Source organism: Homo sapiens, chromosome 11, assembly GCF_000001405.40.
Source record: "Homo sapiens chromosome 11, GRCh38.p14 Primary Assembly".
NCBI classification, from domain to species: domain Eukaryota; kingdom Metazoa; phylum Chordata; class Mammalia; order Primates; family Hominidae; genus Homo; species Homo sapiens.
This window is the reverse complement of record NC_000011.10, coordinates 126,282,639-126,304,851: the sequence shown is the minus strand read 5'-3', so window position 1 is coordinate 126,304,851 and position 22,213 is coordinate 126,282,639. Positions and strand designations below refer to the sequence as shown.

Here is a 22,213-nt window from a genome sequence, read left to right as displayed (position 1 = left end):
GTATCTGTCTCGCCAGAAATATTCCGTAGTCCTGAAGATCAGGGATGGTAACTTTCGTCTCCACATCCCCAGTACCTAGTTTAGTGTCTGGCATGCATGAAAGTGCGTGCGTAGAACTGAATTAACAATTATAATATATTGTTCTCCTGTTACGGCTGAAGTCGCGTAAGGCAGAGATCACATCTCCTACAGTCTCATGTCGTTTCCACGGACAGGGATGAGCGAGACATCTAACATTGACTGGGTTCCTAGTCCCTGTATACATAAATGGATGATGAATGGCTTGGGGAATGTAACATGTGATCTTTAATCTGCAATGCACTCTCCCAGTAGATATTTCTAGTGGAGACATTAGAAAAATTAGAGCTAGATGTGTTCATTGCCTTAATTTCAAAGGCAATCTTGCCGCCTTTCACCGCCCCTCTATGCATTCTAGTGGCGCACTCCCGCCTCCCCGGAGTGATAATGATTGGTATTTTCCAGCCGAGATCCGAAAAAAAAAAATCTGCCTCCGAGGCGATGATTGGTTCACTGCTTCCCGCATCCCACCTCAGGGTTGCCTCCTGGTACCTTCCCGTGTAGGAAAATGATTTTGTCCCGCGCAGACTCCCTCAGCACCTTCTGCAGTCTGAAGCCGGAGAACGGTAAGCGGACAGGAGCACAGGTACCATTTCCAACTCCTGCCTCCTTTTCCTCTGTGCTGGCGGCGTGGGCCTCCTCCACGTCCAATTCGCGCTTCCTCTTGCCTAGTTGAGGAGCTGCGTCCGCCATGCTGCCGCGGAGGCGGTGTGCGCCTGCGCCCCCTGCGCTGGCCCCGCCCCTAGCCCGAGTCCAGCGGCCTGGCTGGGCTGCTAACTCCCGGCCTACCCTGCTCTGGCACCCGCTCCTGCGGGATGCGTGCCGCGCATGGCGGAGCCCGCTGACCTGTCCCAGGGCGCGCCTTTCAACCGAGTTACTGCCTTTGGCCCCGTTGTGGTGCCGGCCGGCCCTCAGGGAAGGGAAAAGAAGGCTGAGAGTCCCGAAAGCGGCGGGCTAGAGGTGGCTGCGCAGTGAAGAGGGACCCCCAGGCCCACGCCCCGGGGTGGGAGCCGAAGACGCCCTTGGGCCACGGTAGTGTTGGAGCCCTTGTTTGAATACTGACATTTTAATCATAGTTACACCGACGTTGACCAATTATCGGGGAAGCAACGTTTCTGACGCAAATCCGTGAGCCCATTTGATTCCTTGGTCGATTTTTTATACCGAGTATTTAAGCCATTTCCATTTTTCTCCCATTTTAATTACTTTGCAGAAATTTTCATCGTGGTCAGTTTTTTACTTTGTAGACTCAGTACTTTTCTGCTGACAAAAAAGGTAAACGAATATGGCCAGAAGAACCATCTCCACCACCCACTTATTTCCGGGCTAGAGGCATCCCCCTCCTCTCTATTTTGTTTACCTGTATTTCTGCCCTGCTACCCAGGGATATGATTTGCAGTATGATTCGTCTCCCAGGGTTTCGTTTCTCTTTTTTTTTTTTTTTTTTTTTTTTTTTGCCATATAAAATTATTACTTGTAACTTCTGCTGTTGAGGGTTTCTTTGGTGACCATTGTTTCTGGTTAGCCCGTTTTTCACTGGTGTTATTTAACAGATCTAAATTTTGTGAAGAGTTGGTACTTACGGACAGGCGCGGTGGCTCACGCCTGTAATTCCAGCACTTCGAGAGGTCGAGGTGGACGGATCACGAGGTTAAGATACCGAGACCATCCTGGCCAACATGGTGAAACCCCGTCTCTACTAAAAATACAAAAATTACCCGGGCGTGGTGGCCCGCGCCTGTAGTCCCAGCTACTCGGGAGGCTGAGGCAGGAAAATCGCTTGAACGCGGGCGGAGTATTGTAGTGAGCCGAGATCGCACCACTGCACTCCACCCTGGCGACAGAGCGAGACTACGTCTCAAAGAAAAAAAAAAAGAGTTGGTACTTACATCGCTTCAGTCAGCCACACATTTATTTTGCCAGTGATTTGAGTTTAGGTTTTCAGACAGATCTCATGGGTGTGGGACAGTTTTTGCCATTCTCAACGTTAGCAACAAGATGCAATTTACAGTCAGTTTTTGGTCAATAACAAAGTGTACCATGTGTTAGTTTGATTTTTGGATTACTTCTACCAGAAATATAGATTAGGAGTTGGATAAAAGACTACTTTAGGCCAGGCGCGGTGGCTCATGCCTGTAATCCCAGCACTTTGGGAGGCCGAGGTGGGCGGATCACGAGGTCAGGAGATCGAGACCATCCTGGCTAACGTGGTGAAACTCCGTCTCTACTAAAGATACAAAAAAATTAGCCAGGCGTGGTGGCGGGCGCCTGTAGTCCCAGCTACTTGGGAGGCTGAGGCAGGAGAATGGCGTGAACCCGGGAGGCGGAGCTTGCAGTTAGCTGAGATCGCGCCACTGCACTCCAGCCTGGGTGACAGAGCGAGACTCCATCTCAAAAAAAAAAAAAAAAAAAAAGGACTACTTTGTGTGTGTGTGTGTGTGTGTGTGTGATGCAGAAAGCATTATTAGGAGAGACTTAGGATCTGTCCCCCAGGCTGGAGTGCAATGGCGCGATCTCGGCTCACTGCAACCTCTGCCTCCAGGTTCAAGCGATTCTCCTGCCTCAACTTCCTGAGTAGCTGGTATTACAGGCGGCTGCTACCACTCCCGGCTAATTTTTTGTATTTTTAGTAGAGTCAGGGTTTCACCATGTTGGCCAGGCTGGTCTCGAACTCCTGACCTCGTGATCCGCCCGCCTGGGCCTCCCAAAGAGCTGGCATTACAGGCGTGAGCCACCGCACCCTGCCAAAGTAGCTATGTTTTAACAAAAAGAGCCCATAATTGAGAGCCATGAAGTCGGGCCCCAACACTGACTAGCTGTGCAACTTTGGAAAAGTCTCTTAACCTTTCCAGGTCTCCATTTTCCATGTGCCAGCGGCTATTAGTTCTAAGCAAGACAACGAGGCCTCTTCTTTCATAAAATGTATATTCAAATGGGGTACATGAGGTAAACAAGATAATGATTAAGAACTGTTTTTTGTTTTTTGTTTTTTGTTTTTTTTTGAGACGGAGTCTCCCTCTGTCGCCCAGGCTGGAGTGCAGTGGTGCGATCTCGGCTCACTGCAAGCTCCACCTCCCAGGTTCACGCCATTCTCCTGCCTCAGCCTCCCAAGTAGCTGGGACTACAGGGGCCTACCACCACGCCTGGCTAATTTTTTGTATTTTTAGTAGAGACGGGGTTTCACCGTGTTAGCCAGGATGGTCTCAATTTCCTGACCTCGTGATCTGCCCGCCTCAGCCTCCCAAAGTGCTGGGATTACAGGCGTGAGCCACCGTGCCCGGCCAAGTACTGTTAATAGGACAAAACTGGACAGTGTGAAAGAGCCTGGGGATAGGAGCCCCCCCCCCCCGCCCTTTTTTTTCTTTCTTTGAGACAGAGTCTCACTCTGTCACCCAGGCTGGAGTACAGTGGTGCAATCTTGGCTCACTGCAACCTTCACCTCCCAGGTTCAAGCGACTCTTCTGCCTCAGCCTTCTAAGTAGCTGGGATTACAGGCGTACACTAGCACACCTGGCCAATTTTTGTATTTTTAGTAGAGATGGGGTTTTGCCATGTTGGCCAGGCTGGTCTCAAACTCCTGACCTCAGGTGACCTGCCCATCTCCCAAAGTGTTGGGATTACAGGCATGAGCCACCATGCTCGGCCAAGCTCTTTAGATAAGATGATCATGGACAGCCTCTCAAAAGGTGACATTTGAGCTGAGACTTGAATGATGAGAAGGAACCAGCCATATCAGCCATATGAAGAGCCCAGGCACAGTAAATATTAGCTGTCAAAGGCCCTAGAGCAGTAATGTGCTTGACATTTTTAAAAAATAGGAATGACCGTGGGGCATGGTGGCTTACACCTGTAATCCCAGCACTTTGGGAGGCTGAGGTGGGCGGATCACTTCAGATCAGGAGCTCGAGACCAGCCTGGCCAACATGGTGAAACATAGTCTGTACTAAAAATACAAAAATTAGCTGGGTGTGGTGGTGTGCGCCTGTAATCCCAGCTACCTGGGAGGCTGAGGCAGGAGAATCACTTGAACTCAGGAGGTGCAGGTTGCAGTGAGCCAAGGTCGCGCCACTGCACTTCAACCTGGGTGACAGAGCAAGACTCTGTCTCAAAAGGAATGACCTGTGTAGCTAAAATATAATGAGCAAAATAGAAACATTTGAAATGAAATAGTAGAGAAATGTATTCATTAGCGGCAAAATTAATCAATATGGGTATAATTTTGATTAAAATATAAAACCAGAATTCTACTCTTCAAAAAGGCCTGGCTCATGCCCCACGTGGTGGCTCATACCTGTAGTCCCAGCTACTTAGGAGGCTGAGGTGGGAGGACCACTTGAGCCCAGAAGTTTGAGGCTGCAGTGAGCTATAATCACACCACTGCCCTCCAGCCTGGGCAAGAGAGCGAGGCTTTGTCTCTTAAAAAAAAAGAATGCCAAGGAAAGGATGAGCTCATAGGAAGCCTCAGCTACCAGAGGTTCTATTAAATACCAGACCTCAGTGTGAAAGGAATCTTTATGGTAGTAGTTAAAATTCATTTCCTCAGTTACACTAGCCACTTTGCAAGTGCTTGATATCCACTTGTGGCTATCGTATGAGCACAGATGGAGAACATTTTCATTATCAAAGGAAGTTCTACTAGACAATGCTGTATTAGCTTACTCATTTATTATAAAGCCCTGTTCAATTGTTTTTCAGAAATCTTAAAATTTCTCCCACGCAAGGTGCGGTGGCTCACGCCTGTAATCCCAGCACTTTGGGAGGCCAAGGCGGGTGGATCACTTGAGGTCAGGAGTTTGAGACTAGCCTGGCTAACATGGCGAAACCCCATCTCTATTAAAAATACAAAAATTAGCTGAGTGTGGCAGCAGGCACCTATAATTCCAGCTACTCGGGAGGCTGAGGCAGGAGAATGGCTTGAACCTGGAGGCGGAGGTTGTAATGAGCCAAGATTGCACCACTGTGCTCCAGCCTGAGTGACAGAGCGAGACTCTGTCTCAAAAAAAAAAAAAAAAAAAAACCTCCCAAATCTTTTCTTTTTTAGTCTAAAGAAGGATTGGATACTTCCCAGTTCCATTTCAGGGATTATAACAGACTAAACTGAAAACAAGTCAGCTACAAAATACCCGAACATTCTGGATGTAAAATTTAAAACATTCTTTTAGTTACGTTGCTGAGCTCTCAAAAAAGTAAAATTTGCAGGAACCAAAAATGATGTGGGAGTTTGAATCTATAGAGTGGTAAGGGGATTTTTAAGGTGGAAGCTATTTTAAGGGCCATTGCTGATCTCTAGACGTCTAGGACCCGATTCAAGGGACAAGAGACAAGACCTGAGCTTATGTAAAGAGGAATTAAGATACAGAACTTTCTATAGAGCTAAGAACCCTGAAGGTCCACTAGCTCAATGAAGGGGCCAACAATTTTTTTTTTTTTTTTTTTTTTTTGGATACGGAGTCTCACTCTGTCGCCCAGGCTGGAGTACAGTGGCGCGATCTCAGCTCACTGCAACCTCCGCTGCCTGGATTCAAGCGATTCTCATGCATCAGCCTCCTGAGTAGCTGGGATTACAGGCACCCACCACCACGCATAGCTAATTTTTTTGTATTTTTAGTAGAGACGGAGTTTCGCCACGTTGGTCAGGCTGGTCTCGAACTCCTGACCTTGGGTGATCTGCTCGCCTTGGCCTCCCAAAGTGCTAGGATTATAGGCGTGAGCCACCATGCCTGGCCAGGCCAACTATTTATAAAAAAGAAAAATGCTGCCCTACTAAAGGAGAGAAGGTGATTAGGAAACTTGCCTGCTTCAACCGTTGTTCCAGAGGGAAGAAGGAAAAAACCTCCTAAGAATTTATAACCACAGATGATTCTTCATGCAGACAGACTTCACATTCATGATTGTGTACATGATCCAGGACACTCAAACTGAAAAATCTACTTAAACTGGTCTTGTAGTCTTTATTGACTGTTTGTACCAAATTGACTCCAGGAGAAATGGAAAATCTAATTAGATCTATAACTCTTCAAGACATTGAAATTACAGCTTTAAATTTTACAATAAAGAATATTCTGGCCAGGCATGGTGGCTCACGCGTGTAATCCCACTGCACTCCGGCCTGGGCAATAGGGCAAGACTCCGTCTCAAAAAAACCAGAATATTCTAGGCTCAAATGGTATTACAGATGAGTCTACCAAACATTCAAGGAGCAATTAATTCCAATCTTAAATTCTTCAAATAATAATTAAAAAAAGGCTGGGTGCAGTGGCTCATGCCTGTAATTCCAGCACTTTGGGAGCCCGAGGTGGGTGGATCATGAGGTCAGGAGATCGAGACCCTCCTGGCTAACACGGTGAAACCCTATCGCTACTAAAAATACAAAAAATTATCTGGGTGTGGTGACACGCACCTGTAGTCCCAGCTACTTGGGAGGCTGAGGCAGGAGAATCGCTTGAACCTGGGAGGCAAAGGTTGCAGTGAGCCAAGGTTGCGCCACTGCACTCCAGCCTGGGCGACAGAGCAAGACTAAAAAAAAAAAAAAAAGAAAAAATTATGTATCAGAAAACCTACAACGCACACATTTAGTGGAGAAATGTGTGAAGCATTCCTTCTAAGGAATGAGACAAGGATGGCTGCTATTGTCACTTTGTTTTATTGGAGGCCTTAGGAACCACACAAGGAACTAAAGTTTTTGTTTTCTTTTGCAAATTGTATGACTGTTTATAGAAAATTCAACAAGACAGGTGTGGTGGCTCACACCTGTCATCCCAGCTCTTTGGGAAGACCAGGCAGGCAGATGGCTTGAACCCAAGAGTTCAAGACTAGCCTGGGCAACATGGCAAAACCCCATCTCTACAAAAAGTACAGAAAAATTAGTCAGGAGTGGTGGCACAGGCCTGTGGTCCCAGCTACTCAGAGGGCTGAGATAGGAGAATCATTGCTTGGGCCCAGGAGGTCGAGGCAGTGGTGAGCCATGATCACACCACTGCACTCCAGCCTGGGCAACAGCAAGTCCCTGCAAAGTTTATAGTCATATAGAATTAAGTAATTCAGCATGCTGCTTAATACTAGATCAATATGTGAAATAAATTACAATTCTTTATATCAGTAATAGATAAAAATGTAAAATTACCCTTTACAACAGCAACAGAAAATATGAAATGCTAGGGAATAATTCTAATAAAAAGAGGAGCTGACCAATGTGGAAAAGATAGAAAGCTTTACTGAAATACACTTAAAGACATAAGTAAATGGAGACATACTATTTTTATGAATAGGAAGACTCATAAAAATATCTGTTTTTTCAAAATCTACAAATTCCATGTAAGTCCAATGAAAATACTAACAGGCTTTTTCCTGGAACCTGATGGTTGAATAAACAATTTATATGGAAGAGTAAAGGAACAAGAAAAGTTAAAGTGATTTTTGATGGATAAGAAGAGCAGGAAGAATTGACATACAAATGGTGCAGGCTTATTAAAAACATCAGTGAACGAGGCAGTGTGGCACCAGCACAGGGATACACAAACAGATAAAGTAAAGGGAGGAGACTGGAGAACCCAGTAACAGCCCCCCACGTATGACAATATGTGACAGCAGTGACATCATAATCAGTAGGGGTGGGGTAAGGATGGACTAGTCAGTCAATGATGGTTATTTAAATAGAAAAAAGAATTGGATCTTTGACTAAAGAACAACAAAAACCCAAACAAAAAATCCAGGTGGATTAAAGACCTAAATATGAAAAGAAATACAGAAGAAAACAGATGTAGGGGAGGACTTCCTGAGTAAAACACAAAAAGCACAAAGTAAAAGGTAAAATATTATTTCAGGCTGGGCGTGGTGCTTCACGCCTGTAATCCCAGCACTTTGGGAGGCCGAGGCAGGTGGATCACCTGAAGTCAGAAGTTCAAGACTAGCCTGGCCAATATGGTGAAACCCCATCTCTACTAAAAATACAAAAATTAGCCGGGTGTGGTGGTGCATGCCTGTAATCCCAGACTTAGGCAGGAGAATCACTTGAACCTGGGAGACAGAGGTTGCAGTGAGCCAAGATTGCGCCATTGCACTCCAGCCTGGGCAACAAGAGTGAAATTCCGTTTCAGAAAAACAAAAAACAAAACCAAAAAAATTTTAATAAGTTAGAGATGCATACTTAAATATTTAGGAATAAAGTGATTTCTGAGGTTTGCTTCAAATGATCTTGTGGGGAGTGAGAGATATGAGTAGGGTATTATTGATAAAAGAGTAGCTCAGAGTTGGTAATTGTTGAAGCTAGCTGACAGGCACATAGGGATTCATCAAACTTCTTCCTTTCAGTATATGCTTGATTTTTTTTTTCATAAAAATGATGAAAAGGAAAAAAAATAACAATAGTTTACCAGTTTTCATCCACCAGATTAGCAAACATTTAAAAATATGATAACTCTGAACGTTAGCAAGAACATGAAAAAGTGGGAACTCTTAAACACAAATTGTAGGAACTTAAATTGGTACAGCCAATTTGGAAGAAACTGTGGCATCTTCTAGAAAAATAGTATGTATATTCTTTTTTTTTTTTTTTTTGAGATGGAGTCTCGCTCTGTCACCCAGGCTAGAGTGCAGTGGTGCGATATCTCAGCTCACTGCAACCTCTGCCTCCCAGGCTCAAGCAATTCTCCTGCCTCAGCCTCCCAAGTAGCTGGGATTACAGGCGTGCACCACCATGCCTGGCTAATTTTTGTATTTTTAGTAAAGACAGGGTTTCACTATGTTGGCCAGGCTGGTCTCAAACTCCTGGCCTCAAGTGATGCGCTCGCCTCGGCCTCCCAAAGTGTTAGGATTACAGGCATGAGCCACCACACCCAGCCCCAGCAGGATTTTCTAGGCTAAATCCTAGAAAATCTTGCTTGTGAAAATGTACAAAAAAGTTCAGAGGCTCATTGTTTTTAATAGCAAAAACCTAGGAACACCAAATACCCATTTGGAGAAGAATGTGTAACTAAATGGTGGCATATTTACATCGTGGGATGAAAGTGTATTATTAATAACTGGCATGTCATCCATCCGCATGGATAAATCTCACATTTGGTGAACAAGGAAAGGAATCTGCAGAATACAAACGCTGTAACGCTGTTTACATAAAATATAAAACCATGTAAAACTACACAGTATGCTGGTGGAGGTGCATACATATGTAGTAAATGTATAGAGAAAAGCTAAAAGCAAGAAGTTCAAAATTCAAAATGCTGGTTATTTCTGGTGGGGGAAGGGGAGACTGCAATTCAGGGCACAAAGGGACCACTATAAGGGATGATAAGGTTTTGCTTCTTAAACTGGGTGGTAGGCACATGAGTGGACATATTATTTGTTAATCCTTTTGTGCATAATAAAATAATTTTTTTTTCTTTTTTTTGAGATGGAGTCTCACTCTGTCACCCAGGCTGGAGTGCGGTGGTGCAATATCGGCTCACTGCAACTTCTGCCTCCCAGGTTCAAGCAATTCTCCTGCCTCAGCCTCCCGAGTAGCTGGGACTACAGGCCCACGCCACCACACCCAGCTAATTTTTGTATTTTTAGTAGAGATGGGGTTTCACCATGTTGGCCAGGATGGTCTTGATCTCTTGACCTTGTATTCTGCCCACCTCAGCCTCCCAAAGTACTAGGATTACAGGCATGAGCCACCATGCCTGGCCTTTTTTTTTTGAGACAGAGTCTCGCTCAGTTGCCCAGGCTCGAGTGCAGTGGCGTGATTTCAGCTCACTGCAATCTCCACCTCCCAGGTTCAAGCAATTCTCCTGCCTCAACCTCCCGAGTAGTTGAGACTACAGGCCCCCGCCACCACACCCAGCTGATTTTTTTTGTTTTTTTAGTAGAGACAGGGTTTCACCATATTGGCCAGGCTAGTCTTGAACTCCTGACCTCAGGTGATCCACCTGCCTCGGCCTCCCAAAGTGCTGAGATTACAGGTGTGAGCCATGGCGCCTGGCAAAATAGTTTATAATTTAAAAAATAAATTTTCTCTTTCTAGAACTAGAGATAGAAAAAATAATAAAAATTTTTTTCAGCAAAAGAGGGGTCATGATAGGGAGAAGTGAGAGGGGGGCACAAAAGTACACATTGGAGGAAATAATGAAATTCATTTCAGTTCAACAACAAACTTACTGAGAACAGATGAATGAAACCTTGCCTGTCCTATAAGGAATACAGTCATCTGCCAGAAGAAAAATGGTGATTCTTCCCAGTCCAAAGGTGAAGATGGTGACTGTGAAAGTATCAGCTTTAGCCAGACCACTGATGAAGCTCCCAGATGTCACAGCATCCATGGGCTTGTGATCTCAGGTGAAGGCATTGAACCCTGAGCCCTGGATTCCCATCTCTTCACTTGCTCCCTCCACCACCCCACCCCCATATTCAGAATGGCCTCTAGGCTTCTAGGTTTGTGTCTTTAATGGCACCTAGGCAATAAATAAAAAATACAGTGCAGTGCTGACTGCATCTTCCCTACAGCTCTTTGAAGTGAATCGATGTCTCTGGGAAGAGGAACAGAGTAGTGTGAGTGTGAAGGACTGGATTCTTGTTGCTTTCTCCTGATGCCCATTCCAGGGTTTCCCCAGGCAACTAGGAAGACCATCCATGGTGAGGCCTGCAATCTAGGCTTCTTGCTGATCAGTCAGGTGAGTCACTTCTTTAGGAGGGATACCAGTGTACGCCAGTGCCCAGTTCCAGGGGAAGACAGAAGTGGGTGCCAGGCTTCCTGTCCAGTTAGGCAGGAGATGAGTCCTGCTGGCCATCATTGATCAGTACCACTTCCTACCACCTCCAATTTCTGGCTTCCTCATGGCCTTCTTGGGGAGTCCCCAGCTTCCTCATGGCTTTCCTAGGGGGAATCCCCAGCTTCACGGCCTTCCTGGGGGAGTCCCCAAGCTCTCCATGGTCTTCTTAGGGAGCCCACAGTAATGGAAGCCTGATGGGTGCTCTGATCCCAGGGTCACGAGCAAAGCGCTGTGACTCACTCCCTATACCTCTTGTCACATTTGTGGGAATCCGAGGCCCTGCATGGGTTTTCTGTTTCTAGCTTCACTCCAATTTCCGGGGTCCCATGATATAACAAGTGTCAACTGAGTGTCTGCAGATCTGAAAGAGACCAATCACAGCGTTGTCACACCTCCCAAACCCAGCATCTGTTTTCCCCAACAGGTCCTGCCTCTTCTATCTTTTTATCTATTACACTTCCAAACCTACTGCAATAGCATGGCCCTCCCCAGATACACTTATATGCACTTCTTTCCTATTATTTTGCATCATTTTGCCTTACTAAACCAATGTCCCTCCTGGCACCTTCCCAGCTCTTGATGGACATCTCCAGCCTGATCTCAGAGAAACCTAATGCTATTACTGTTACTACTACTAGCTATTAACTTGAGGACCTGATTTGTGCTAGGCGCTGCCTGTTATGAATACATGTGCTAGGCCATGTTCTGAGCCCTTCGTGTATATACTGTTCTCATTTCATAGCAATGGAAACCTGTTGGTCAGTGAGGAAACCAAGGCACAGAGCGGGTGAGTAACTTGGCCAAGTTACTTTTTATGGGTTAATAAGTGCAGGAGCCAGGATACAAACCCCGACAGCCTTTTCCAGAAGCTGCGCTTTGAACTACTAGGCTACAGGGCTGTCTCCTAAAAGTCAAAGTAGATCAGATACTGTAGCTGAATCCCGTTCCCCTTCTCCCTCCTGTAGTAGCTTACAACGCATGACAGCTTCTTTGACTTGACGAAAGCCACCATCAGGGCCCCTGCCATCGACGTAGTACATGAATCGGAGCTCAGGTGGGTAGGCAGCTCTGCTGAGGCCCGACAGCAGGGGGATGGTGCAGCCCTCGGCCCCTGGAGCCTCGGTCAGGGCCTGCAGCATCTGGTACTTGCACCAGGGGTCCTGAAGGAAGCCCGGCGTGATGAGCAGCACCCGGCAGTGACTACTGCTCAGTGCCTGGCACAGCTCGGACACTATAGCGCCGCCTGGGGTTGCATCCCGGAGTTGCAGGAAGCAGCGCAGGCTGGCAGTGCTGCCTTCCAAGTAGGAGACCAGGTCCTGGGCGGCCACCAGGTCTTCCTCACTGTGGCACACGCAGACGTCATAGTCTTTGCTCCAGCGACTACTGCCACTGTCACTCGCATGTGTGGGTGGCAGGCTGGGAGACGTGACTGAGCTGAGGCTTGGGGGTAGTGGGCTGTCCTGTGAGGTAGGCTGTGAAGCATCGCTGGAGGTGCTTTCTGGGGAGTTGGGCCTCTTCTTGGGCTTCTTCAGCAGGGTCTGCCTGAACCAGTCTGTGGGGGAGAAACACTGCTCAGGCCTGTGTGTTACCAGGTGCCCTCTCACTGCCCACACAGGGAGGAGCCCCACCTCACAGGGAGGACAGACAGACTGCAGCCCACCTCCCTGCACTGGGAAACATCTTATTCTCAGAGACCTGTTGCTCCACTATTTTTTTTTTTTTTTTTTGAGGCAGAGTCTCACTCTCACCCAGGCTGGAGTACAGTGGTGCGATCTTGGCTCACTGCAACTTCTGCCTCCCAGGTTCAAGCGATTCTCCTGCCTCAGCCTCCTGAGTAGCTGGGATTACAGGCATGCACCACCACACCTGGCTAATTTTTGTATTTTTAGTAGAGACGGGGTTTCACCATGTTGGTCAGGCTGGTCTTGAACTTCTGACCTCATGATCTGCCCGCCTCAGCCTCCCAAAGTGCTGGGATTACAGGCGTGAGCCACTGTGCCCAGCACTCTGCTATTTTTGTTTATCTTTTGGGACTTGCCTAAAAGTGCCCTCTAAAGGTAAAGGTTTTGGACGTGTCAGAACTCTGGAATCCTTATGTGAGAGTGTTCCACCAGCCTGGTTAAGAGAAATGGCCTTGCACTACTCCAGGCCCTTTGATATCTGGTACCCCCAGCCCAGCCCACCTTAAGCAGAACTTCCCACTAGAGCTGACTAGTCAACCACCGGGAGTCTGCAGGCAGAGCTACGTTATGCTAGCAAGGATCCATCAGTCCCAAAGCCCACTTTCAGCACTGAGGGGAGGTGGACTTAGATTAGGAAGGGCTACGTATACAGGAAGGAAGGGGTACGGAGGACTGGCATCTGTTTGGCCCCAAGAAATCCTAGATTGTCGCTAAATGGGGAAGAGGCTACTGCTCAGAGTTGCTGAGGAGCAGAGAGCTTCGTGATTCAGAACCCACACTCTGGAGTCAGGGACACGGCTTTGACTGTGGACTTGTGGACCTGTCTTAGTTGCTGAAAGTTAACTGAGATAATGCAGTGTCAGGTATGTCAGGGAGCCGGGCCTCTTCTTGGGCTTCTTCAGCAGGGTCTGCCTGAACCAGTCTGTGGGGGAGAAACACTGCTCAGGTCTGTGTTTGGAGTATGGGACTCCATAAGGAGATGAAAACAGCTTCCCCAGCCTTTGATAAGGACAGATAGTTGTGGTGGGGATTGATTCATTTTCTCTCTCTGCTTGGCTTCTCCTCTAAATGGTTCTGGAACAAAGATTTGGACGACAAGAGACAGTGTTAAGCACTCAGCACAGTGGTTTCCAGGCTAGGAAAGCTAGCTGAGCAGGCCTGGAAAACCTTTGAGCCAAAAGGATAAAGATCTGGCTGAGCTGACGCAGGCCTCCCCTCCTCACTCTCCACAAAGCATCCAGGCCCTGAATTCAGGTCAGGAGTTCCCCACGTCAGCCTTCCTGCGTCTCTCTGAGTTTGGACCAGGCAGGCCTCCCACCGCGCCCTATGGAGGCTGAGCACTACACTCAGGAACACAGCAGAGTCGCGAGTCCGGTTCCACTCACCAGCCATCTTGCCTAGAGGCTTCTTAGGCCGAGAGCCAGGAGCTGGGAGGGAGGTCGATGATGCCATAGCGTGGGGGTCAAAACTAGCCCCGTGAGACCAGGCATTGGTGAAGGGGGAGGAGGGAGGAGACCCAGTCTTGACCTCATGGAGCAGCCATCCTACAGAGGGTAGAGAGAGAGAATCACAAAGGCTGCACTTACCCTGCTCTCATTCCCCATGGATGAGCTCTGCGAAGTTCTGTTTCTCTCCTAATGCCTGACAGAGGCTTCTTCTCTAAATGGGTCTTTCATTCCTCATGAGATTAGGGCCAGACACGACTGTGATTGGAGCTGGATTCTAGATAAAGCCAAAGCTGTGTAGTGTGGTCAGACTTACAGGGTATGAGCTCAGCATGACCAGCTGAGGAACTGTTCTCTGCTCCACCTGGCCAGGAGGATATTCGGGATCTGGGGAAGGGCAGCTGGCAGGCAGCTCTTTAGAAGGACTTCCTATGTAAGGCCTGAAATGGCAGAAGAAGGACAGTTGCTATTTGGACAAATAATTATGTATCCAGATAGACAGAAGCTGAACAGTAGAGAGAGAGCACATGCAGGAAATCTTGGGAGACTTTTCCTCCAAGTCTGCCTCCCCCTGAATAACTCCATCCATAGACCCATCGCCCCTGCAGCCGTCAGCTCAGGAAGGTCATGTCAAAAAGTGGTACAGACTGCAGACTGCAGGTAGAGTGCCTGATTCTCATCTCTGGTTAACCGTGACCTTTGGCCACCTTGCTAAACTCGTTTCTCCATCCGTGAAATGGAAGTACTAGAGCCTCCTTCTCAGCATTATTGTGAAGATTAAATGAAATCATTTATGTAAAGTCCTAATGGTGCCTGGCATGTAATAAATGCTTAGAAAATGTGGGCTACTATGTATATAAAATAATCTAGATATTGGAGGGGTATATTATGTTCATGGTTTATTAAACTTGTAATGTTAACGTTTCCCAAACTGATCATTAATTCAGTGCTGTTCCAAAGTCTAGAAGATTTTTGTTTTTTAGGTTTTTTGGTGGGGAGGTTGTCAGACTGCTTCTAAATTTATATGGAAATACAAAGGCCCAAGAATCCCTTAGAAAGGCAACCTGCCATGTTCTTTTCCCACCGTAGTGACAGAGGATGTCCCTGATGGCGGACACTCTTTCAGCCTTAAGTTTCTGTGGAGCAGAGCCTGTGGGGGCTGTAGTATTCTAGTGACACTTCTCCTGTGAAAGGCTGGCAGAGCAACTGGCACAGGGCTGCTTTCTCTTTGGTGGATCTGTGAGATCAAAACAAACCTGAGAACTCATGGAAGCAAGTATTATTAGACACACTAAAATAAAAGGTTTCAAAATTTAAAGAATGTGGCCAGGCACAATGGCTCACGCCTGTAATCCTAGCATTTTGGGAGGCCAAGGCGGCGGATCACCTGAAGTCAGGAGTTCAAGCCTAGCCTGGCCAACATGGTAAAACCCCTGTCTCTACTGAAAATACAAAAATTAGCTGGGCATGGTGGCAGGCGCCTATAATCCCAGCTACTTGGGAGGCTGAGGCAGAAGAATCTCTTGAACCTGGAGGCGGAGGTTGCAGTGAGCTGAGATTATACCACTGCACTCCAGCCTGGGCAACAAGAGCGAAACTCCATCTCAATAAAAAAAATTAAAGAATGTCATTCTATGCTGCACATTAATGCTTTGTTCACTGATGCGTAGAAGACAAGGGATGCTGAGGATTTGTGATCATATATCAAAGTTCAAAAAAGAAGTAGAACTTAAACCATAGCAGCAAAGGAGGCAGAGCAAAGGGTTGGAATGGGTACAGGAACCAGAGAAGACATCTGAAAAAGCAACACAGCTAAATGTGAAGCCACCAAAACGGCACTGGACGTTGACTATGAGTATGTATATGAGTTTCTTTTCTTTCCTAATATGCTTGGGATTTCAGACAGCCTAAGTGGTAGGCTGCAGCTAGGGCCGTTCAGGATGCCTTTTTGCCCCCAGTAGTAAACATGATGTCACTTGGTTTTTGCATTTTTTAAATATTTTTTCAATTCTGTTTTAATTTTAATATTAATTATTTGGCCTTGGTGCACTTGTAAACTAGAGCATCATTTGATTTGTAAATATTCTAAAGGTTAAAAATTAACATAATATGTTAATCTACTTAATATATGTAGATTTTAAAGTTTCAGTTTCTCATTTTATGAAATGACTTGCCCTTTTGGCAACGCATGCTAATTGGGGGAAATTGCTTTTCCATTGCTTGGTTAAGAAGAAATCCAGTTGTCCAGCAGTATATGCCACCAGAAGTGCGGTGGTATAAGCCCTCATGAGAAACATGGAAACGTTTTAAAGAGAAAAATAACAGCACCTTTGACAGGATAATTGAGCAAGATGGCAGGTAAATTCCAGTAACCATACACACTGCCTACTTCCTGGAATCCAAGACGCCATGCACCTTCCCTGTTCCTTTTCAGTTCTTTTGTAGCTGGAGCTGTGGAACTGTCACATATTCAAACACGTGTTAATCTTTCCAAGACCTGGTAACTGTCATCATATCTTGAGATGTGGTTGACAAGTAGGTAAGGTAATGAACCCAAATCTCCAACTGGAAGCTCTACTCACTAGCTCTGCCTATTCTCTGATTTGCTGTGTGGTCTAATACGCAGTCGCTTTCTTTGTGCTTTGAAAAAATTCATAAAGTAGAATCATACCAAAAATACCCACTTTGTAAGAACTATGACTTGATAGAAAATTAGTAAAGGGAACGGGCTCAGTGGCTCATGCCTGTAATCCCAGCACTTTGGGAGGCCGAGGTGGGCAGATCATGTGAGCTCAGGAGTTCCAGACCAGCCTGTCAAAACCCCTTCTCTACTAAAAATACAAAATTTAGCCGGGTGTGCTGGTGCTCCCCTGTAATCCCAGCACTTTGGGAGGCCGAGGTGGGCAGATCATGTGAGCTCAGGAGTTCAAGACCAGCCTGGCCGACAGGTCGAAACCCTGTCTCTACTAAAAATACAAAAATTAGCCAGGCATGGTGTCGCACACCTGTAATCCTAGCTACTTGGGTGGCTGAGGCTGGATAATCCCTTGAACCTGGGAGGCAGAGGTTGCAGTGAGCCGAGATTGCACCACTGTGCTCCAGCCTGGGTGACAGAGCGAGACTCGATCTCAAAAAAATAAAGAAAAGAAAATTAGTAAAGAATTTCTTCAGAAAAGAAGTAGCACAATACCTTTAGTGCTTTCTAGAATGCTTTTCCAATATTATGTGCAGAAACTGATGTAAAGGAAACATTATGGAGTTTTGCTGTATAAAATCCAAAGTGGGCTGGGCACAGTGGCTCATGCCTGTAATCCCAGCACTTTGGGAGGCCGAGGTGGGCGGATCATGAGGTCAGGAATTTGAGATCAGCCTGGCCAACATGGTGAAACCCTGTCTCTACTAAAAATACAAAAATTAGCTAAGCGTGGTGGTGCGTGCCTGTAATCCCAGCTGCTCAGGAGGCTGAGGCAGGAGAATCACTTGAACCCGGGAGGTGGAGGTTGCAGTGAGCCGAGATCATGCCACTGCACTCCAGCCTGGGCAACAGAGCAAGACTCAAGTCTCAAAAATAAAAAAAAAAAAATCCAAAGTGTATTTAGTATCCAATATCAAACTGGTCTCCAATTTCTATTATATAGGGAATGTACTGGAGCCTGTGAAGGCATATAATTAGAATATGTATCTCTTAGAGTTCATATTCGATTTCTGTTAAGCAGGAATCACTATCTGGGGTAGACAGAATAGTGGCCCACAAAGAGGCCCACATCCTAATCCCCGGAACTGAGAATATGTTACCTTCCGTGGCAAAAGGGGATTCGGCAGCTGTGATTAAGAACCTTGTGATGGGGAGGGATTCCTGGATTACCCAGGTGAGTTTAATGTAACCACAAAGATCCTTTCAAGAGGGAGGCAGGAAGGTCTGAGGCAGACGAAAGAGCTGTGCCAAGGGAAGCAGGCGGCAGTGGGATGCAGGTGGCCTCTAGAAGCTGGAAAAGGCAAGTCCATGGGTTCTTTCCTGGAGCCTTCAGAAGGAGCACGGCCTTGCTGACCCATCTTAGAACGGCAGGATAATCAATGTGTGTTGTTTGAGGCCACTAAGTTTGTGGCAATTTGTTACAGCAGCAATAGGAAACTACTACACTGTGTCTGATTAGATCAGGCCAATGAATGGAGAAAGTATTGGATTTCAGTTGAGTGCTAAAACCTGGTCTGTTTAAAGGTTCAAATTGTTTGAAACAGTTTTTACATCTTTAAATAAATAAATTACCATCTATACTTCACCTGACTTTGACTTTACATTTAAAAGAATTTTGGTTTCAAAGGCTGTTTTGTTCTCAAACACTTGCTAAAACGTTTGGGTAGGATTAATTATGGTTTGCAGGACAATGTCACTTAAAGTCCTGAATATAATTCATTTATAGCTTGATAGACACAACACAGTGTTCTCAAAGAGGTTTGTAGACTATGGTGCAGACCTAGGGTGGCCCCCTGTGTTCACACCTGGGACTGTGAGAAGGACCCATGACTTTCTTTTTTTTTCAGACAGACTCATTCCATTACCCAGGCTGGAGTGCAGTGGCACAATCTCAGCTCACTGCAACCTCTGCCTCCTGGGTTCAAGTGATTCTTGTGCCTCAGCCTCCTGAGTAGCTGGGACTACAGGTGCTCGCCACCACATCCAGCTAATTTTTGTATTTTTAGTAGACACGAGGTTTTACCATGTTGACCAGGCTGGTCTGGAACTCATGACCTCAAGTGATTGGCCCACCTCAACCTCCCAAAGTGCTGGGATTACATACAGGCATGAGCCACCACACCCGACCTTTTTTTTTTTTTTTTTTTTTTTTCCAGAGAGGGTCTTGCTCTGTCACCCAGGCTGGAGTGCAGTGTTGTGATTACAGCTCACTGCAGCCTCAACCTCCAAGGCTCAAGCAGTCTTCCATCTCAACCTCTAGAGTAGCTGGAATTAAAGACGTGAGCCACCACACCTACCTAATTTATTTTTTTCATTTTTTAATTTTTCTTGGTACAGACAGGATCTTGCTTTGTTGGCCAAGCTGGTCTCCTAACTCGTGGCCTCAAGTGATCCGCCCACCTCAGCCTCCCAAAGTGCTGGGATTACAGGCATGAGCCACCATGCCCAGCTTTAATTTTACTTTTATCTGAGTCTTCTTGCTAGGGAAGATTTTTTAAAAACCAGACTCAAATAATACAACTATAAGGGGAAAAAATGATAAAATAAAAAACATTAGAATGAAGAACTTCTGTTCATCAAAAGACATAAATAGGAGAGTGAAAAGGCAATCTCCCGAGGGTTAAAATGTTTAAAAATATATATCCAGGGCTGGGCACAGTGGCTCACACCTGTAATCCCGGCACTTTGGGAGGCCGAGGCGGGCGGATAACTAGGTCAGGAGTTCAAGATCAGCCTGGCCAACATGGTGAAACCCCATCTCTACTAAAAATACAAAAATTAGCTGGGTGTGGTGGCAGGTGCCTGTAATCCCAGCTACTCGGGAGGCTAAAGCAGGAGAATCGCTTGAACCTGGGAGACGGAGGTTGCAGTGAGCTGAGACTGCGCCATTGCACTGCAGCCTGGGTGACAGAGACTCCGTCTCAAAAATCAAATAAAATATATATTATATATATATATATATACACACACACACATATATCCAATAAATGTCTTATATCACAAATATTTCAAGGACTCAATGGAACTAGTAAGACGACAGAAAAATGAGCAGAAGAATTGAGCAGGCACTTCACAAAAGGAATATTCAAATGAGCAATAGACATCAAAACAGTTCATTAGTCATCAGAGAAATGCAAACTAAAACCTCAATGCATCACTGCTGGGCACTCAGCCAAATGGCTACAGAGAAAAAGACTATCAAGTAGTGGTAAGAGTGTGCAGGGATGGGAACTCGAACACTGCCGGTGGAGAAGTGTTTGGCCATAGACTAAGATGAGCATACACACATCAGCAATTTCAGTCCTACGAATATACTCAAACAGCAGTGCTTACATATTTTTTTTTTTTTTTTTGAGACGGAGTCTCCCTCTGTCGCCCGGGCTGGAGTGCAGTGGCATAATCTCGGCTCCCTGCAACCTCTGCCTCCCACGTTCAAGCGATTCTCCTGCCTCAACCTCCCAAATAGCTGGGACTACCGACACCCGCCATCACGCCTGGCTGATTTTTGTATTTTTAGTAGAGACGGGGTTTCACCATATTGACTAGGCTGGTCTCGAACTCCTGACCTCGTAATCTGCCTGCCTCAGCCTCCCAAAGTGCTGGGATTACAGGTGTGAGCCACTGTTCCCCGCCTGCTTACAGATGTTTACCAAAAGACATTCACAAGAATGTCTGTAGCAGCAAGATACAAAATAACCCCACAGTGGAAACGACTGTCCATCAACCCGTGTCCAGTAGAATGGATAAATAAATTGTGGTCTAGCCATACAATGGAATATTATATACCAACAAGAATAAACTGCTAACTAAACATGGGTGAATATCACAAAACATACTGAATGTCAGACGTCACACACGTAAGAGTACATGAAGGGCTGGGCGCAGTGGTTCACGCCTGTAATCCCAGCACTCTGGAAGGCTGAGGCAGGCGGATCACCTGAGTTCAGGAGTTCGAGACCACCCTGGCCAATATGGCGAAACCCCGTCGCTACTGAAAATGCAACAATTAGCCGGGCGTGGTGGCAGGCGCCTGTAATCCCAGCTACTCGGGAGGAGGCAGGAGAATCGCTTGAACCCACAAGGCGGAGGCTGCAGTGAACCGAGATTGCGCCACTGCACTCCAGCCCAGAGGACAAAGGCGAAACTCCATCTCAAAAAAAAAAAAAAAAAAAAGAAGTACATGATATATGATTCCATGGATGGAAAATCCAAAACAGGCAAACCTATTTTATGGCGTTAGAAGCCAGGGATGTAGTCATGTTTTATTGATTGCTCTGAATCAGGAAATGTGCGTGTTGTGGAAAATGGTTGAGCTGTACACTTAGGATTTGTGTGCCTACGTATCAACTCTTTTAAATCTAAAAACTAACTAGATGTGGTTCCCTCTGAGTCATTCCTGATCCTGGTGTCCCCTAGGTTTGGTGTTTCAACGGGAGTTCTCCACACTTCCCCCTCTCTGTTGCACTTCTAGGGTATGCTGTGATTCTAGCGTACCTGTCTGTCCCCTGGGGACCAGAAGACTGGATCTGTCTGGTCCACCGCGGTCACCCTAGTCGTTGGCACAGTGGCTGCCCAGCCCGTGTGTAGCTGCCCATGACTGTGGTGTAATGCCTCGATAGGTCCCTGACCCTAACTAATGTTATGCACTTGCTGAATCACTGCCACAATGACAACCCGAAGAGCAGAGGAAGAGGCTGTGACCGGAGCAGAGAAGAACGTGAGGAGAAACGATATCCACAACGCACTGAGCGCCAGGCTCTTCCAGCGAGGCAAGCGAAAGGGGAGCCGCCCCGCGCGAGCTTCTTTGCGACAGAAAAGGTGACATTCTCCTCGGAGGGCCCTTTCATGCCGCTTGCGTGTTGCGGGTGCCAGAAAGGTGAAGAAGGGAAGCGGATGTGCCGCCAGCAGGGCAAGGCCGGACCAGAGGCGGCGCGCACCCCTGCGGCTCTCGGTGGGGCCGGGACTCTGGGGCCCAGGCCGGCCGCGCTCCGTCGCCCACCCCACGGAGCCCCGCCGCGCCTCCCGGTCCCCCGCGACCCCGCCCCGGGCTCACCTGCGCGCGGGCCCAGTTGCGATGAGGGCTGCGCGGACTGCGCGGGCTCCGCGGGGAAGAGCAGCGCGCAGGCCCCGCTCTCCGGAAGCGCCGCCCGCCGCACTGCCCCTCCCACGCCGCCAGGCCCAGTCCAGACCCGGGAGACTCTCGGGCACAATCCGGCTGCGGGAGACGCGGGACGGGGCAGCCCCTGTGTCCACTGCGGCCCGAGCCCCTGCCAGCCTGGCTTCTGCATGACTCCGGGCTCCCGTCCTCTCCGCTTGCGTTGGGGCGGTCCGCAGCAACTCGGAGAGGAGCCCGTGGCCAGGGTCCCCCGGCGCCCACCGTGACAACCTGAAACCTGGGTTTTGTTCTAGGCGGGGGAGAAGGAAAAAAAAACACCCTATTCCGCCCATTTAATCTTCCTAACACCCTGCAAGGGGGGTGTTCATACCTTTTTCCTTTTATACAAATGAGAAACATGAAGCTTGGAGAGATGGAACTTTTCCAAAGGTCACACACAGCGAGGGGTGTAC

The 22,213-nt window shown here is 47.2% G+C and overlaps 2 protein-coding genes and 1 long non-coding RNA gene across 13 annotated transcripts in view, besides 5 other annotated features; 1 reads left to right on the top strand and 2 right to left on the bottom strand.

Annotated features, from left to right (window-relative positions):
• Positions 1-792, bottom strand: part of DCPS (decapping enzyme, scavenger) — a 45,946-nt gene extending 45,154 nt beyond the window's left edge. Inside the window, exon 1 of one of the 2 annotated variants that reach the window (NM_001350236.2) lies at positions 550-792. In NM_001350236.2, the coding sequence (NP_001337165.1) occupies positions 550-771 (222 nt within the window). In that variant the 5' untranslated portion in view covers positions 772-792. The remainder of the gene's footprint in view (positions 1-549) is intronic. The other variant, NM_014026.6, reaches the window with a different exon arrangement.
• On the top strand, positions 530-10,556 carry TIRAP-AS1 (TIRAP antisense RNA 1). Of its 7 annotated transcripts, none has more exons than NR_187385.1 (2): positions 530-644; positions 10,258-10,556. It is a non-coding gene; the product is annotated as a TIRAP antisense RNA 1 (long non-coding RNA). The 7 variants fall into 7 exon arrangements; NR_187383.1 differs by having other exon boundaries at positions 10,250-10,556; NR_187387.1 differs by having other exon boundaries at positions 10,196-10,556.
• Positions 705-834: a silencer, noted in NCBI's record as "silent region_4049". NCBI's record gives its function as "represses an Ori minimal core promoter by ATAC-STARR-seq in GM12878 lymphoblastoid cells {active_cell/tissue: GM12878}" and the evidence as "EXISTENCE:reporter gene assay evidence [ECO:0000049][PMID:35858748]".
• On the bottom strand, positions 9,919-21,759 carry TIRAP (TIR domain containing adaptor protein). 4 transcript variants are annotated; one of them, NM_001039661.2, is made up of 6 exons: positions 21,699-21,759; positions 15,035-15,187; positions 14,267-14,390; positions 13,891-14,049; positions 11,797-12,375; positions 9,919-11,184 (listed from the first exon to the last, which is right to left on the bottom strand). In NM_001039661.2, exons 4-6 carry the CDS (start codon positions 13,955-13,957, stop codon positions 11,165-11,167), a joined length of 666 nt encoding a protein of 221 aa, NP_001034750.1. In that variant the 5' UTR covers positions 13,958-14,049; positions 14,267-14,390; positions 15,035-15,187; positions 21,699-21,759; the 3' UTR covers positions 9,919-11,164. The 4 variants fall into 4 exon arrangements, with proteins under 4 accessions (NP_001034750.1, NP_001305706.1, NP_683708.1 ...); NM_001318777.2 differs by lacking the exon at positions 15,035-15,187; NM_148910.3 differs by lacking the exon at positions 9,919-11,184 and having other exon boundaries at positions 11,676-12,375; positions 15,019-15,187.
• Positions 11,540-12,044: an enhancer, noted in NCBI's record as "H3K4me1 hESC enhancer chr11:126162703-126163207 (GRCh37/hg19 assembly coordinates)". NCBI's record gives its function as "activates a minimal SCP1, AML or CMV promoter by ChIP-STARR-seq in primed H9 embryonic stem cells {active_cell/tissue: H9 hESC(primed)}" and the evidence as "EXISTENCE:reporter gene assay evidence [ECO:0000049][PMID:30033119]".
• Positions 19,665-19,744: an enhancer, noted in NCBI's record as "active region_5706". NCBI's record gives its function as "activates an Ori minimal core promoter by ATAC-STARR-seq in GM12878 lymphoblastoid cells {active_cell/tissue: GM12878}" and the evidence as "EXISTENCE:reporter gene assay evidence [ECO:0000049][PMID:35858748]".
• Positions 21,213-22,020: an enhancer, noted in NCBI's record as "H3K27ac-H3K4me1 hESC enhancer chr11:126152727-126153534 (GRCh37/hg19 assembly coordinates)". NCBI's record gives its function as "activates a minimal SCP1, AML or CMV promoter by ChIP-STARR-seq in naive H9 embryonic stem cells {active_cell/tissue: H9 hESC(naive)}" and the evidence as "EXISTENCE:reporter gene assay evidence [ECO:0000049][PMID:30033119]".
• Positions 21,587-21,996: a silencer, noted in NCBI's record as "silent region_4048". NCBI's record gives its function as "represses an Ori minimal core promoter by ATAC-STARR-seq in GM12878 lymphoblastoid cells {active_cell/tissue: GM12878}" and the evidence as "EXISTENCE:reporter gene assay evidence [ECO:0000049][PMID:35858748]".

Excerpts from the sequence above, each read along its gene's own strand:
- TIRAP (NM_148910.3), bottom strand. The coding sequence starts at position 13,957 with ATGGCATCATCGACCTCCCTCCCAGCTCCTGGCTCTCGGCCTAAGAAG. Across the intron at positions 12,376-13,890 it reads GCCTCTAGGCAAGATGGCTG|ACTGGTTCAGGCAGACCCTG; the intron begins GTGAGTGGAACC and ends TCTCCCCCACAG.